Source organism: Homo sapiens, chromosome 14 (genome assembly GCF_000001405.40).
Source record: "Homo sapiens chromosome 14, GRCh38.p14 Primary Assembly".
NCBI classification, from domain to species: Eukaryota; Metazoa; Chordata; class Mammalia; order Primates; family Hominidae; genus Homo; species Homo sapiens.
Window position 1 is genome coordinate 37806179 of NC_000014.9, and position 16663 is coordinate 37822841.

The 16663-nt window shown below is 36.3% G+C and overlaps 1 protein-coding gene across 11 annotated transcripts in view; it reads left to right on the forward strand.

The window, feature by feature from the left end:
- The window catches only part of TTC6 (tetratricopeptide repeat domain 6), a 247089-nt gene that overhangs the window by 210550 nt on the left and 19876 nt on the right, over positions 1–16663 (forward strand). For 6 of the 11 annotated variants that reach the window (XM_047431332.1, XM_047431333.1, XM_047431334.1 and 3 more), the window contains 6 exons: positions 183–332; positions 831–854; positions 1142–1282; positions 2555–2668; positions 6136–6255; positions 11400–11473. In XM_047431332.1, coding sequence (XP_047287288.1) covers positions 183–332; positions 831–854; positions 1142–1282; positions 2555–2668; positions 6136–6255; positions 11400–11473 — 623 coding nt within the window. The remainder of the gene's footprint in view (positions 1–182; positions 333–830; positions 855–1141; positions 1283–2554; positions 2669–6135; positions 6256–11399; positions 11474–16663) is intronic. The other 5 variants (XR_007064009.1, NM_001310135.5, XM_017021254.2 and 2 more) reach the window with 3 other exon arrangements.

The following is a 16663-nucleotide window of genomic DNA, read 5'->3' on the forward strand; positions in this document are numbered from 1 at the left end:
CTACTTGTTTCTAAATATTAGTTTTGTTTGTTCCATGAGGTCCATTAGGAGAAATGTATTTAAAATAATCCAAAAATAGAGTGAAACTTTTCAACAATAATTATATACTGTAATTCGTTAACATTTTAAAACAATATATTATATCACTAAATGGTTTGCATTTTGACAATATGCTCCTGTAGGCTTTTGATTCTTTTACAAAAGCTGTGAAAGCAAATCCAGATTTTGCAGAAAGCTTTTATCAGCGAGGGCTTTGTAAAGTGAAACTCCACAAGGATAGCTCGATTCTGGATTTTAATCGTGCAATTACCCTCAATCCAAAACATTACCAGGTATTTAAACAGATGTTTTTAGTGAGTTGGAAAGTGTTAAGTTTGGTAAAACTATTAAATCTTTTATGTGCCATTGTTATTAATTACCAACAATCAGTTTCTTATACCTACTTTTCACTTAACTTTATTTTCATAATCCAAATAGCTGTATTTCTTCTTAAACTAAAAGTATTATTTCCATCAGTGATATTCTGATATATATAAACGTATCTGTGAATGTGATATATGTAAATATTAATGTGGCTATTAATAATTTAAAGTTTATATACTCATTAATTTTACTTACTTTTTGTTTTGATGTTACATAGATTCCTGCCTTTTAATAGACTATACAGGCAACACAAAATTCAGTAGGTGAAGCTTGATTGCATCTTGATTTTAGGAATCTGTGAAATTTGAATCTGGTCTAAGTGTTAAATTATTTTAGGAAATTTCTATAAGTTATCTTGGATATATAATGGCAGTGTGGTTATGTACGAGAATGTCTTTTTTTCACAGGAGATGCATACTGGAGGACTTGGGGTAAAGTATTACCATATCTACAACTTGTTTTCCAATAGTGCAGAAAAAAATAGATAAATATGGCAAAATGTTAATAATTATTAACTCCAGGTGATAGGTATTTATCATTCTTTCAATTATTCTGTGTCCTTTGAAATTTTTTTCTAATAAAAGAAAAATTTTAAAAAGACTATATTTTAATACCCTTTTTGGGAGGCATAGATTTGTTCCAAGTAGCATATATTTTGGTAGAATTGGTGCTTTTACTAAAGCATCCATTCCTGCTTTCTCTCTCTCTCTCTGAATAGGCATATTTAAGCCGAGTAGCATTCTATGGTTTAAAAGGCAGGTATTCCAAAGCAATCTTGAATTGTAACAAGGCTATTAAAATTTACCCTGAAAGCGTACGTGCCTATCTCTACAGAGGAGTTCTGAAATACTACAACAAGGTAGGGCCATTTCCTGCCTGGTTTACCGAAATTTTAGGGTGGGCAGATTCTCTTATGCTAGGCAGGGGACTCACTTACTTTTTTTCTATGTGGTTGGGAATCACTATGATATGAAGGGCAGAACTACATAGAAAACTTTACACTTTCCCAATTCATATTTTTTTCACAAAATAATGGTATTTATTTTTGACATTTACATTTTAAATAACATTTATTATTTATTTTTATTAAGAATGTAGCATATATTCATTGTAGACAGTTTGGAAAAATATGGAAGGGAATAAAGGATTATTATCTCACCATCAATGATAATTCCTGGGTGCATTTAGCATATTTGTATTCAGTCTTTTATTTTCCTCATAATATATGATATATATTTTCCAAAATTTGGACTATGGTATTTATATAACTTGTGTGGTGCCCTGCTTTTTACACTTAATCTTTGAAGATAATATTTTGCTGACTGCATAATATTCCATGACAATTTATTTTAAATTACTTTATTGTTGAACTTTTTGATTGTTTTTAAAATTTTTACTATTATACTATTTAATATAGTTATATACAACTGAGAACAAAATTGCTGCTTGGGTTTATGATTGGTTCTTAAACAGAAGTTACTGGGTTAAAAGGTGTGACTGGCACCATTGATATGTGATACTGCACTGAATACTTTATTTCTCTCTACTTTTCTTTTCTGATCTTTCTTTGTAGCTATTTTATATGAAATATTTTGCAAATAATACCTTAAAGCAAAGGTAAGACCTTGCATTATGTGTTAATTCTATGAAAATTACTATCTACAGAAATGGGTGATATAAGGTATCAGAGAAGAATCAAAGAGGAAGCAAAAGAGAACGTGGGTAGAAAACATGACGATTATGTGATATGGTAGTCAGAGTGACAGAAGCAAGCAAGCACTGGTGAATGTTTGCTGCATTAATATGGGTGGCTTTATTTTATTTTACCTAGAAGTATGATTTTCTCCTTGCCATATACCAACATTGGTAATAAGATATTTGCCTAAATTAAAGTTGTTGATATATTTAATTTTGTTTGCAGGTAAGAGAAACTATAATGATAATTTCTACCAGGAGATTTTCTTAATTAACTCTGTGAAAGATTAGCTTCAATGTCTTAATTTCACAGATGATACAAAGAATGGTTAAATGAGTGTTTCAAAAACTCTGATAGAAACAAGAATTTATTTTATGATTAAATTTCAGTCCATTATGATTTTCCTTTCTCACATAATTACTTTTTTCTTTTTAGACTTATAAGCTAGCAATTACAGATTTAACTACAGCTATCAGCATGGACAAAAATAGTTATACAGCATTTTATAACAGAGCATTATGTTACACCAAGATAAGGGAACTTCAAATGGTAAGATGACCATTTTAGTAAACAATGTGTTTAAAGTGTTTAATAAATAACATGCATTTAATAGCTTGTGGATTTCAATCAATAAATATTTAATAAACAATATGTTAAAGCATTTGTAAACTCATTTAAGGCATTTATAAAGTATTTTCTTATTACTTCTGCTACAATTTTCAAAAGGAATTCCTAGGAAATACACACATATAAAACTTAAGAAACCAAAGAACCATTTCAAAGAATATTTAATTTCTTTGTTGGTGCTCACCAAATTTTCTTATATAATTTCTGAAAGAAGTCAAATGAAAAATTAAGTTGATAATGCTTATAGAAGTATTTAAAGGCATTTATAAATTAAATACATTACATAATTATCAATTGAATAAATGTTTCTACCATATGCAGAATTTTTTTTTTTTTTTTTTTTTTTGAGACGGAGACTCACTCTGTTGCCCAGGCTGGAGCGCAGTGGCGTGATCTTGGCTCACTGCAACCTCCGCCTCCCGGGTTCACGCCATTCTCCCGCCTCAGCCTCCTAAGTAGCTGGGACTACAGGCACCCCCAATCATGCCCTGCTAATTTTTTGTATTTTTAGTAGAGACAGGGTTTCACCATGTTAGCCAGAATGGTCTCAATCTCCTGACCTCGTGATCCGCCTGCCTCGGCCTCCCAAAGTGCAGAATTTTTAAAGCAGTAGCAATCACTAGCAATATTGTGGTTTCAAAATTTTAATATTAGCTAGAGCAGTTTGTGTAGGCATTCTTTTGTTTGGTCCTCAGACCACACATGTAGCAGGGAGGATGGAGTGATGGTTTTCAGCTCCAGGGACCAGTGACCAGGTTTGGCCTATATTTTGAAGGCCTGTGGGCTGCAGCAAACCTTTTTTTCCATTTGTCTTGATCCAGCATCTACCTGTGCAAACTCTTGTTTATATTTTGTAATCTTACCTACTCTCTTCTCTCCTGTCGGTTTGGTCCCTTTTCAATGAGGATTCCTCACTGGGGAGCAGCTAGTCTTGCGGTCTTTCAGTGTAGTGTCCCATCCTCTTTCTCTGTTACTTGTCTCACTCTCCTTATTCCTGCCCATGTCCATAGTAAATGACGCATTCTTTTAAAAGGCTAGGTCACATTCCCGCTGTTCTGTGTTCACACACTCTCCATTCTGTGAAACGTGGACAGTGAAATCTGTTTAAAACATTTAGTAATTTAGAAATGTACAAGCTTTAGAAGGGAAGTTGAGAAACATTGTCTCTACCTGAGAGGATGTAAAATTCCTGGTAACCAGATTATCAGGTTTCCTCCAGAAATGTTGATAAATGAATAGCTAATTTTTAACAAGGGGATTGTTAAGATGCTAGGAGCTGATTGAAAGATCATTTATTAGAGTGACCTACACAACAGGGGCCTTTGAGGATTCCCTCCCCAACCCCATTCCTGCCGGAAAGGTAACCCTGAATAGGAAAACAATGGGCTGGGCGAGGAGGGAACACCCATTGTATTGTTATCTCAGATATGCGAAAGAGCCAGTGCCCTGTTAATTAAGAAAATGCAAAACTACCTAAATCAAGTAAAACTGAATTACGATAATAAAATATTGGTGATTTCAGAGCTGCCAGGACTCTGAAGCATTTCATCCAATCTGCTCACTTTACAGATGAGGAAATGGAAGTAGGGAGAGGTTTGAAAACCCATCCAAGTCACACAGAGAGAGTTAGTGACCTGTACTGGTGTCCACACATTTGTTTGCTTCTGGGTTAACAGTGTTTAGGTGGCTTTGTAAAACTGTCTGACCTCCAGCATGTGGACTGGATGTCATTAAGCAGTGTGTCCTCCTCCCTTGCTATCTCCCTCCACCTGTTTCTCAGCATTCCTGCCATCCCTAGCCTGAGAAAAACCAAGTAACTTTCTGCAGAAAATGCACTTAGGCATTCTCCCAAGATATAGTTTCATAAAAACTAAGGGAAGATCAATTCTGGTTCTAACACTTTATATTAATAAAAATACTGAACAGTTACCACTTATTTAGGGCTTATTGTGTGACAGGAACTGAGCTAAATGCTTCACTGACATACAATCAAAATATTTTTAAGCAGATCCTTACAACAATATGATGAATTTTTAACACCCCAATTTTGCAGATGAGGAAGCTAAGGCTTAGTGTTAAGTGATTTTCTCCAAATCAAGGGGCTAGTAATGATAACAGAGGCATGGCACAAATCCAGGAGAGGCCAAGGCCCTGACCCCTCCTCTTAATCAAAACCTGTGTGCTCCCATCCCTACCCCTTACCCTCGTTGACCTTTACGAAATCTTATTTCCCAGTTTTTATTTCCTCCTGTATTGCAGATTCAGCTGCTTAGTGGATCTCGAAGGCATCATACTGGTTTCACATAATGTGACTTAGTAAAAGAAAAATGTTAGACAATTTGTGGCTAATATTCTAGGTTTGGTTTTTTCTTTTTTGACAAATACTACTGATTTTTTTTATAGTCCTGGCAATTTTTATTTTTAATTATGCCACAACATACCTATAGGATCTTTAACTGCACATTTTTTAAAGACACTTGAGCACGCAACATTAGGAAACACCAGAGGAGGGCAAATGAGCAAATATAAAATGCTCTTTGTCATTTTCAGTTGGCAGATGCTACAGGCATAATAAGATTTAGCCCTTTTCTGATCAGACCATATGGCTCTTTTGGACAGAATGTTCAGTAGGAAAATGATTTAAGAGATTCAGCTCCAACCCAAGTTTAGGATGCTTCTAGTACCTGGTACAGAGTAGAAACCAGTAAAATCTTGTTTAGTCAGTGAATGTAAAAAAAACCAAAAAGGTAAAAGTAATGGAGAAGGGTCTGAGTTGATTCTCAGATTACACTATGTGTCTTTTAAAAAATGAATATATTTATCAAAATATTTTGAGATAGCTTTCCTACAAGTGCTTATTTGTTAGTTTTAAGATCTATTTTCATTGATTCATGATTTTTTCATTGGATACAAATTTATTGAATGCATGCTATGTGCAGGCTTGATTCTTGTTACTGGGCTTAAAACAGTGAACAAAATGGATAAGCTCTGGCCTCACAGAGCTTAGGAAAACAATACAACACTAAAAAGAAATTACATTTTTAATGGTAATCACAGCAACAGTCATTTGATGAAACTACCCAGTAGAGGCAGAATGCTAAGTCCCTCCCTTCCAGCCCGTACACCAGTGAAAATGTATAGGGTGACTTGTAGGTAAAACATGAAATGCAAGCACAGTGTGCACTGCTTATTGGAAAGTATCAAGGTCCATCATACATTTTACCTAAGGGTACCCTTTAAATCTAACATATGATTATTTTGGCCATAAATTATAAAACAAATTGAAGAACTAACCATTGGGTCCTAGTTTGGACATAAATACGTTTGTCCATAGCCAATGAATTCAGGCTCTAAAAAGTTGAATCTATGTTACAAATGATTATTTTTAGGCATTAACAGATTATGGAATTGTGCTGCTTCTTGATGCTACAGAAACTGTAAAACTAAATACCTTCCTTAATCGTGGACTCATCTACGTAGAACTAGGCCAGTATGGCTTTGCACTAGAGGTAAGCCTTCCTGTTGTGTAACCCACTTGATTTTGCACATTGACTTCTGAGAACTAGTGAACAAGATTTTATTATTATCAACTGGCAATATTAATGAGTGGTAGCTCAACTTTAGCAAGAATTCTATTAAAATACTTGAAATGACTAATAGGCTCTTTGAAAAAATGTATATTTTTGCTTTGTTTGGATTACAGATAAACAGCCAATACATTTTTAAACATTTCTAATTTGATCAAGACCATCACTTCTCTTAAGGGAGTACAGACAAAACTCAAGTTACTTAGTAAATAAAATGATTCCTGTAATGTGTACTCTGCTGTTTAGTGGTAACTTTCTCAAAATTTTCCTCTTTTCCCTTTGCAAATATAGCAAAATAAATCTGTTTCAAACAGGGCAGGAAATAGTTACTCAGAATGGGTTACTGGTAACAGGCTTTAAAGTGAGTGGTGACAGGCATTTAGAATCATACTAGAAAAAAGTATAGGCAAGGTTTTCAAAAGAAACGGGTAGTTTAAAATGTATTTCATTAAAGAATAATTAAATAAAATTCATCATTCTCATTTTTAACTTTTTATTTTTATTGTCTTTTTGTAACTCTTGGATTAAGAAACAGAAGGTAAAAATTAAATAGCAATTAGAGATATATAGTTAAATAATAACAGTTTTGCTTCTTTGTTTCTGAGGAACTGCAACGTAACATTATGGAGTGGAGTGCATCCTGTTCTTTTCACCTCCCAAGATGATTATTTTTCTATTTCTGGAGTCATTTTTTTGAGATTCTGTCCAAATAATCATTTACCTTTGAGGAAGTTTACACTATGAATAAATGTAATCCCAATGTTTGAATACCTTTAAGCTTTTTGATATATTAAAAATATTTTTGAGCTGTATCACTAGGTATAACCTCAGGTAGATGGAAGTAAAGAACCTCCCTGTTTGTAGTAGGCAAGAAAACGATGGGCAACAGTGTTGAGGTGGAGAGAGTGAGATAGTGGAGGTGGGGAACAAGGGACTGCAGCTGTTAGAGAATTAAATGCAAAGCCCATGTTATTCTCTGAATAAAGATTTATTTAGTACTAAGCAACCACTAAACAACTATTGCACAGTTGCTACACACCGGGTCCTCAACAATGCTGCCGAATTTATAATTGTAACTTACAGAGGAAGAAACTGGTATTCAAAAGAGGTTAAATAAGGTCTTTCCACAGTAAGTACTGGGGTAAGATCTGAACTCAGAACTCACTCGATTCCAAATTCTGTCTTCTTTCAGGCAAAGCGCTGGCGTTAATATATGGAGATAAATGAGACAGAGTTCCAGTCTTTGAGGAGCTGATGGTCTAGGGAGAGTCATTCTTGTCCCCTCTTTCCTCACACCCCACATCTGACCCATTAGCAAGTCCAGTCAGCTCTACCACTAAAGCATATTTTGAATTAAATCATTTCTCATAATTGCCACTGCTATCTTCCTTTCAACCAGTAAGTACTGGGGCAAGAGCAGAGCTCAGGTTTCAGAACTGAATCATCTCTCTCCTGGACTACTGTAGTAGCTTTCCAACTGGCTTAAGGTTCCACTCTTGCCCCTCTACATGCTATTCTCTAAACAGATGCTAGAGAAATCTCTTAAAAATATAAACTAGATCAAGTTATTCCTTTGCTCAAAACCCTCTGATGGCTTCCCATCACACTTAGAATAAAATCTGAACTCTTGACTGTGGCTGAGCAAGACCTTACTTGATATGACTGCTGCTCACCTCTGATCTCATTGTCAAACATTCTCTTCTCTCCACTAGTCATGCCACCCTGGCCTTTTCTTATTCCTTGGAAATGCTGGGCTCCCTTGCTGCCCCAGGACCTTTACACAAGCGAGTCCCTATGCGTACAGCACTCTTCCTCCTGATCTGTGTATGATTCATGCCCTTGTTTCATTTAGGTTTCTGCTGAAATGTGACCTCCTCAGTCAAAAAGGTAGAAAATAAACTAAAATGGAATATAAAAAAATATTAAAAGAATCCCAAATAAGTCTAGGAAGGGGAAGCAGAGAAACAGAAATGGAGGAAACCAGCAGAAAAGAAATGATAATATAGAAGACCAAAATCCAGCCACACCAGTAGTTATATTAAATGGAAATAGTCAAAATACAACAATGAAAATCATGATAATGTCCGATTGGAATTTTGTAAAAGTGCCAACTATATTTTGGCAACCAAAAACACATTTTAAATATAGTGATATAGATAGGTAACAACAAAAAGCTGGAAAAGATATACCACAGAAACAAATTGAAAGCAAAAAATTCAATTTTTCTCTATGTGAAGTTAAAAAATTAAAACAACTAAAAAAAGATGTGGGCAGGGGAAGAAGCAATGAAATATATAAGACTGAGTAATTAGAGGTCTGCATGAAAAACCAAGAGAAAGCAGAATCTTTAAAAACAGTTTTAGTGGGAAAGATTGATTAACAGAGAAGCTGACTAGCTTGAGTGCTGAAAACATTAGTTAGTTGAGAGCTGTATGCCCTTCATAGGGACACTTTGTTCAGGAAGCATTTTGACTGGGCTTGTTTGTGAAGTTAATGGCTAAGTTAACCAGAAGTTAATGGGTTAAGAACATTTGTTTTCCTCTTTTCCCTCTTGAAAACCTACCAAGATAATAGTAAAGGAATAAAAAAAGATATAATGCTGCAAGTTTACAGATAGTAGAGAAGAGATGTTCAGGCACCTCAAACTGCCATTCTCGATCTAAATGCCTCAAACTTAAATATAAATGGGTAGCCAAGGATCAGAGCTTAAGGGAAATGAAATAGAGACTGAAACAAACAAACGAGTAATCATAAGTGTATAGCAGTGGTCCCCAGCCTTTTTGGTACCAGGGACCAGTTTCATGGAAGATAATTTTTTCAGGGGATTCAGGCGTCAGGGTGGCGGGGTGATGGTTTCGGAATGAAACTGTTCCACCTCCGATCATGGGGCACTGGATTCTCATAAGGGGCACATAACCTAGATCCTCACATGCACAGTTCACAATAGGGTTTGCACTCCTATGAGAATCCAGTGCTGCTGCTGATCTGACAGGAGGCACAGCTCAGGCAGTAATGCTTACCTGTGGCTCACCTCCTGCTGTGATTGAGATGTAAGACTGAGATGGAGATTGAGATTGAGATGTAGATCTACATCTCATATACCAGGGGTCCCCAACCCCTGGTATATAGAGCTGATGGGAGAAGGGGAGGCATGTGAAGTGGTAGTGTGAGACAGCTAAATTCTATTCTATGTGGTACACATTAGTGGCTGTGTGGTTTGTTATTTATCATCCTTATATTAGAGAGATAATTAATGCAGAAGAGAAAAATTATAATATTAAATAACAGTGGCTAACTTTATTCTAAGTAATGCTAATAGTCATCTTTTATGTCTATTGTTGATAATTACTGCCTAATTACCATGTAGTATAATAATGATTATATATAGAGAGTCAAGTTCACTTTTGAAAGTTTCATCTGATTACAAAACTAAATTTATTTTAGCCTTTTAAGTTACATGGTCATCCTTGAAACTTCCAAAATTAATGGGAATGTTTGTAATAAAGCTCACTTACACTTGTAAGTTTGCCTTAATTTTAGCAAAAAAAAAAAAAAAATCCTCCTAGAGAGATGTCTGGAAGCATTTTATTAGATTATATTTGATCAGACAATAATTAAAAAAATTTTCTTCCAAATAGTTCCATTTGGTGTCATATATGCTTCTTGAATCAATGTGGGGTGTCCACATCTACAGATTGGTCTGTGACTAATACTGCGTCCTCCAGCAGGATCTCTGAGTGCTCAGATTAACCTTAATACTCCCTCTTCCACCCCCAATAACAGCAGAAAATTTATCCTACCCTTCAAAGACAGCCTCTTCCCTCTGACATAGCCAGGGAGGGTTTGTGGAAGGGAGGAGGAGTGGGAGGGAGAGAGAGAGTGTGGGCTTTGATTAGCTCTTTTCTGGCTGGGTAGTGTCCTTTGGGGCTGCAGATTTCTGCTGTCTGGCTTCCAGGAAGGAAGCCTGGAGGGATTTCCTTTTGCCACTCCACAGAAGAGTGTAATATTCCCCACTGCTCTGCTTGATCAAGTGACATCACAACAAATACTTTCCAGGAAGATTCCTGCTGAAGCAGTCTTCTGGGGAAAAAGCAGTGCTATTTTCATTCCTTCATAGATTCAGGACTCTTTCAGAAGCCCTTCCTATATTATAGCAATCAGTAAAATCAATCTACATCTCATATATAAAATGTATGTAAATATCATGCAGTTGACATGATATAATATTTTGTTTTGCCGTTATATATTTAAATATTTTCTTAATTTAAATGTAGCGATGTTCTTATTTTACTTTAGGCCTCAAATATTTCTGTAGGACTTTGAAAAGCCATGAGCTTCAGACACTGTCCCTGGGGCCTGATAAAGGAAAGAGCTCTGGGCTACGGTGGCAGGATCTCTTGTGGACTTAGCCCTTCCAGTGCTTTGAAACAGCCTCTTCCTAGGGGCCACTGGGATCCTTCCCAGCTGACTTCCCTAACTTCAGATCTGGGGATTAGAGTTTCCATTTCTCCCTTGCAGGAGAGCTTATGGATCCTTGACAAGAGACAATTTCTCACCAGAAGTGTGGATTCCAAAGGCAGGAGCAGCCCCAGCTCATCCACACAGACCCTTTCCCCAACCTGGATGCCTGCTTGTCCTATAGTCACATAACATCAAAGGTTCTCTCCCGGTACATTTCCTTTTCTGTCTAGATAGAGAAGTCTCCAGAGGAGTTCACTGGGAATAAACAATAGAAAGAAAGTAAATGAGATAGATACCTCATTACCCATTGCAGGTCAAAACCATAGGAAAAAATCCCCATTCTTGAGTAGAGACCAGTAGTACAAGATTCTGAGTGAGTCTACAATAATAGGTTTCCTTTGTTTCATCTGTTCTTATTTGATGTGATACTACAAGGAAAATATAAAGTTTTAGAAAGATGTGTATTTTAATGCTTGTGTCACATGTATTTAGGAAGATGTATATCTTAATGCTTGTGTCATTGTGGAATCACAGTTAGAAGGAAGTTTAAGATAGCACATAAAATAATGTTGCAAAATTAACAAAAGCTTATAACATTATTTCAGGATTTTAAACAAGCTGCACTGATAAGCCGGACTAACGGGAGCCTTTGTCACGCCACTGCCATGTGCCATCACAGGTATGGAGTGCAATTGATGTCAAAGTGGAATCAAGCAGGACCATCAGACTTATCTAATTATCACCCCATAAACAAGCCAGGAGAGAATGGAAGAAACTGGGAGAAATTGTGAATGTTATAGAGTACAAAAATGGGGAGGGACACAAAGAGTTCCCTGTGTAGACACGGGGACCACACTTAGTGTTCCTCAGCACCCTTCTGCCTTCTAATAGACTGTTTTACACAAATTAGCAGGCAAATGCTTCCATCATGGCATTGGGCAGAGTTCACCTGATCCAAGCATAGGTGCTGGGAAAGGATCGTGGCAATATGTAGAATAAAATTATGCATAGCTCGAAATATCTAAGCATAAAATAATTTATTTTGTTCATAAAGTGGGACTATTATAAAGTCTCTTTCCTGGAAGAAAGGGTGATTTTTAAAAATTATGCATTTTTAAGATAATTTTGCATTTAAAAACGTAACTAAATATAATACTAAGTAAAAAACACCAGGAAATATCTATAAAAAACACAATACGTAAAGCAAAATCACTTCTTCCTGGGTTTATTATAAAAATAAGTTATAGAAGAAGAGATGAAAACACTTACATAAGGTTAAAATATAGAAGATAATCAGCTTAAAATATACTCTGAAATAATATTATAGTATATAGACTTTGTTAGCCATAATGTTTATGTTTCTACATATATATTTTACATCATAAAATTAACTTTTGGTAATTTTGCTTTTAAAATTATTGAGATTCAGCCTGCGAGGATTTTAATTTGTGATGAAATGTATTTGGTTAAATAATAGTTTATAGCTTTTTTTCCCCTAAGAAACAAATAATACCAGTTAATTTGGAGGATTAAGTTAGAATAGTTCCAAATTATGTAGACTGGGCTGTATAAATACCCAGTTTAGAGAGTGAAACATAGTTTGAATTATTTAGGAAATTGACATCCTTTTCTCTTTGAGGACATATATAGTACAGCTACATTCTCCTATGAAAGTTTTTTTTTTAATTTTATGAGCAGAGTAATACCATAACTGGAACTTCTGAAGGTGTCTTTGTGTTAAAAGGCTTAAACTGGTCTCAGACCTTTCATTTTGTACAGACAGCAAAACCCGGTCTTACCATTGTCTATTTTAATCCAGCAACCTTTGTACAATCTATCTCTTTAAGTAATTGTCATTCTTAAGAGATGGAATAACGATGACTGATGTATTTGTTTTGGTGGGTGGGTGAAGACCAAAAGTGTCCGAGCTTGTTGCATTCTGTTAAAACTAAAAACAGGCTCCAAAACTACTCTCTACCTCACTCCTATGTTTAGCAACCATTAGAGCCAGTAAATTTCTCTGTATGTCAGTTCACAATCTCTTTTATGAAATGTAATCACTGGGTATATACAGGAGAGCCTCCTTAAGCTGATACTGCTTTGCAATTCCAAATAACCAATTTTCATAACCCAACTAGAATCTCTATTGTTCTTTAATAAAAGTAGAATTTAAATCAGCTGTAAACCTCTGAAAACTCAGAGTCCCAGTTCCACGTGTTTCGAGTTCTAAGTTTTGCTGAATTTCACAATATGGAGTGTTTAGTGATTGGTTATATTTATTTCAGGAAAAATATTTTTTGCTTTTCTAGGTGAGCTATAACAACCTTATACCACAGATGCATGGACTGTAACTATGGGGATTCATTCCTGATGTGTCTTACAGTAGGGAAAGTAAACATTTTCTCATTAGGAAAAATTCTTTAAATAAATAAATTTTTAAATTTTAAGGCTTTGATCTTTGATCTCGTGGGGTTGCAGACTTTTGAAGTATCCTTTGTATATCTCTGGTTCTCACTCTTGTGGTTGCTAGGAGACAACATTCCTTAGGCTTGAATATCCTACTTGTTGCCCAATTTAGTCACCACGAGTGTTATGGTAGAATTAATTTTTAGAACTGAGAATGCCACTTTCATATTTCAAAAAATAATATCATAGAGGGAGATTACTCAGAGTTATATATCCTATCTACTTTTTACTTCAGCACATTTATTTTACTATTCTTACATATTGGGGCATAAAATATTTTTGAGTCTTTAACTCTTCAAGCCAGATTCTTTAGTTTGGGAGGGGATTTGTGATTTATTTGTACAACTCAGTAGGGCACATCTGGTCACGTATGTGATTAATTTGGAAAATGCAGTGGGCCTTTGTGTCTGTGGCCTAGTGGACAAGCTCAGCACATGATCCCTTGTTCACAGAACGTCGTAAGTAGAATCATGCACCTCCAGTAAGTTATCATATTGCTCTAGATTTATGCGAACACATTTTATTTTAGAAAAACTCATTTAACATACTTTTACACTTGTGGTAACTGATGCTTAACAATTTATATCTCATTGAACGTGTAACCTGACAAGAACGTAGATATTCTGCCACATTTTCCCATTGGCTAACTGTCATGCAGTTACTTAACAAGGACTTCAACCTGTAGGACACTGTGACAGACATATATTCAGAGATGAAATTACTGTTTCTACAGTGGCATCTGCTCATTTTTTTTCTTCCTGGTCTATTGGTGCAGGAGGCTGGGAAGCCTCTGATTTTCAGCACTTTCACCTCCCTGGACTTGATTTTAGTCACTATCGGCTTTGAGGAGCTTGCTAGCTGTCTTTCAAGATCTCTTTTCAGCTTTAAGATTTAGTGAACATTTACTGGGTCTGAACAGACTAGCTGCTCATTAAACATTAGTGCTGATAACTTGATGGGTACAGAAAAATAGCTTCAATCACTGCCATTTGGTAATTCACAACTTATATGACGTGGTGAGCTTCAGTTCGCTGCCTCATTTTTCTAATTGGTTAGGCTATACAGAAGGCAAGATTGTATTTCATAAACCATATATTAGAATATGTACTCACAAAGGATTTTTAATTTCACTGGGTAAGAGGGGCCAGGGTGTATGATGCAATTTGGATGTCAATATTACTAGGGGCATTTCAATGAATTTGGTGGAGAATATAAGAGAAGGGGATTTCCCTGGAAATGTCCATTGACCTGGTCACCATAGGTATGCATCATAAGTAAATGCTTCACTACCCACAGATAGAAATACTAAACACAACAAAACCTGTCAACTAAATGCATTTTACACAGAATGACTATGATTCCTGATAAGGAATTATTGTTATACTATAGTGAGAAGGCACTTGGAAAGGCAAAGTGGTCTTCTTCTTCTTCCTCCTTCTCCTCCTCCTTCTCCTCCTTCTCCTCCTTCTCCTCCTCCTTCTCCTCCTTCTTCTCCTCCTCCTTCTTCTCCTCCTCCTTCTCCTCCTCCTCCTCTTCTTCCTCTTCATCCTGTTCCTCTTCCTCTTGCTCTTCTTCTTCTTCTTCCTCTTCTTCTTCTTCTTCTTCTTCTTCTTCCTTCTTCTTTCTTTTTTCCTTTCTTTTTTTTTTGAGATGGAGTCTTACTCTGTTGCCCAGGCTGGAGTACAATGGCATGATCTTGGCTCACTGCAACCTTTGCCTCCTGGGTTCAAGCAATTCTCATGACTCAGCCTCCTAAGTAGCTGGGACTACAGGTGCATACTACCATGCCTGGCTAGTTTTTTGTACTTTTAGTAGAGAAGGGGTTTCACCATGTTGGGCAAGCTGGTCTTGAACTCCTGACCTCAGGTGATCCACCTGTCCTGGCCTCCCAAAGTGCTGGGATGACAGACATGAGCTACTGTGCCCGGCCTGACTTTTACTTCTTAAATAGTGCCAATTATCAGGAAAGAGAGCACAATTTCATTGTATACTACTTGAGGAAAGTGACCTTGTGTTGTCTGAGTAACTCAAAAGGCAGCATCTGATTCCCATATGTGGATGTTAACCTTTGCTTGCTTGTAACATCAGAAGCAAGCCTTCTTAATGCTTCACTGTGGATTGTTGTGTGATCTTCTAGAAGAACACCTGTTGCACCACATTTGGGAAAACATGGAGCAAGTATTGCATGTACCTGTTATTTTTCATGGCCTGGACAAGCATTAAAAAAATACCGTATCACATTGTGAGAAACTGAATTGCCTTTCAGTTTCAAAATGAATTCTTTCTCAAACCTTCTGAACACATCAAGGAGAATGTCTCAGCTAAGAGCTAGTCTTTTTTTTTTTTTTTTTTTTTTTTTGAGATGGAGTTTCGCTTTTGTTGCCCAGGCTGGAGTGCAGTGGCATGATCTCAGCTCACTGCAACCTCCGCCTTCCAGTTTCAAGCGATTCTCCTGTCTTAGCCTCCCGAGTAGCTGGGACTACAGGGGCCTGCCACCACGCTTTGCTAATTTTTGTATTTTCAGTAGAGACGGGGTGTCACCATGTTGGCCAGGCTGGTCTGGAACTCCTGACCTCGTGATCCACCCACCTCAGCCTCCCAAAGTGCTGTGATTACAGGCGTGAGCCACCGTGCCCGGCCAGAGCTAGTCTTTAAAAACTTTGTTTGTAATCAATGGTGCAGCACTCAGGCTGTGTTCTGCAGAATAAAGTATCCAGCTCCAAGCTTATCATTTTAGCTTATTATTTTATTTATGGCATGAGATAATTTTTCAACTTATGGTATTTAAATTAATTTGCTTTTAAAAATAAATATAGTTAAGTAAAAAAAGTAAGTTGACTTAAAAGAAAATATTTAGTAAATGATAGTGTAGGTGGAACCTGGGGCAACTTTCATGAAGGAAGGGGTAGTTTGGGAATCACTGGTTTAAGAGATACTCTTGAGTAACCTCTAGAAGATGATAATTTCTGGAACAGTTTATCCTGGGCTCCATGTATTTTATAAAGGAAAAATGGGCAAAGTAGTGATACATCTTACTAAAATTTGAAACCTGTTTGAGAAGTAATGAAGAGAATGGAAGGAAGATATAATCTTTATTGGGTGAAGGTTTCTGTGCTAGGTGTTCTTCACATGTTCTTATCTGAGCCTCATAACAACCTTGAAAAATTAATATTAATTTGCATGTTCAGGCTCAAATCTAAACTCCAAGACTTTCTTCTGGCTACCTTGTTGAGATACCAGCTCACTGTTTCTTGTGCACCAACCACAGGTATATAATAGGTGTAGAATGTGTGGTAGAGGTGGCTGTGTGGAAAAGCATGGATTTTGGAGTAAGGCTTACATGAATCTCAGATATTTTCTCTGTGCAAGCATAGTATGGTAGTTACTGTGCCATTACCTGTGT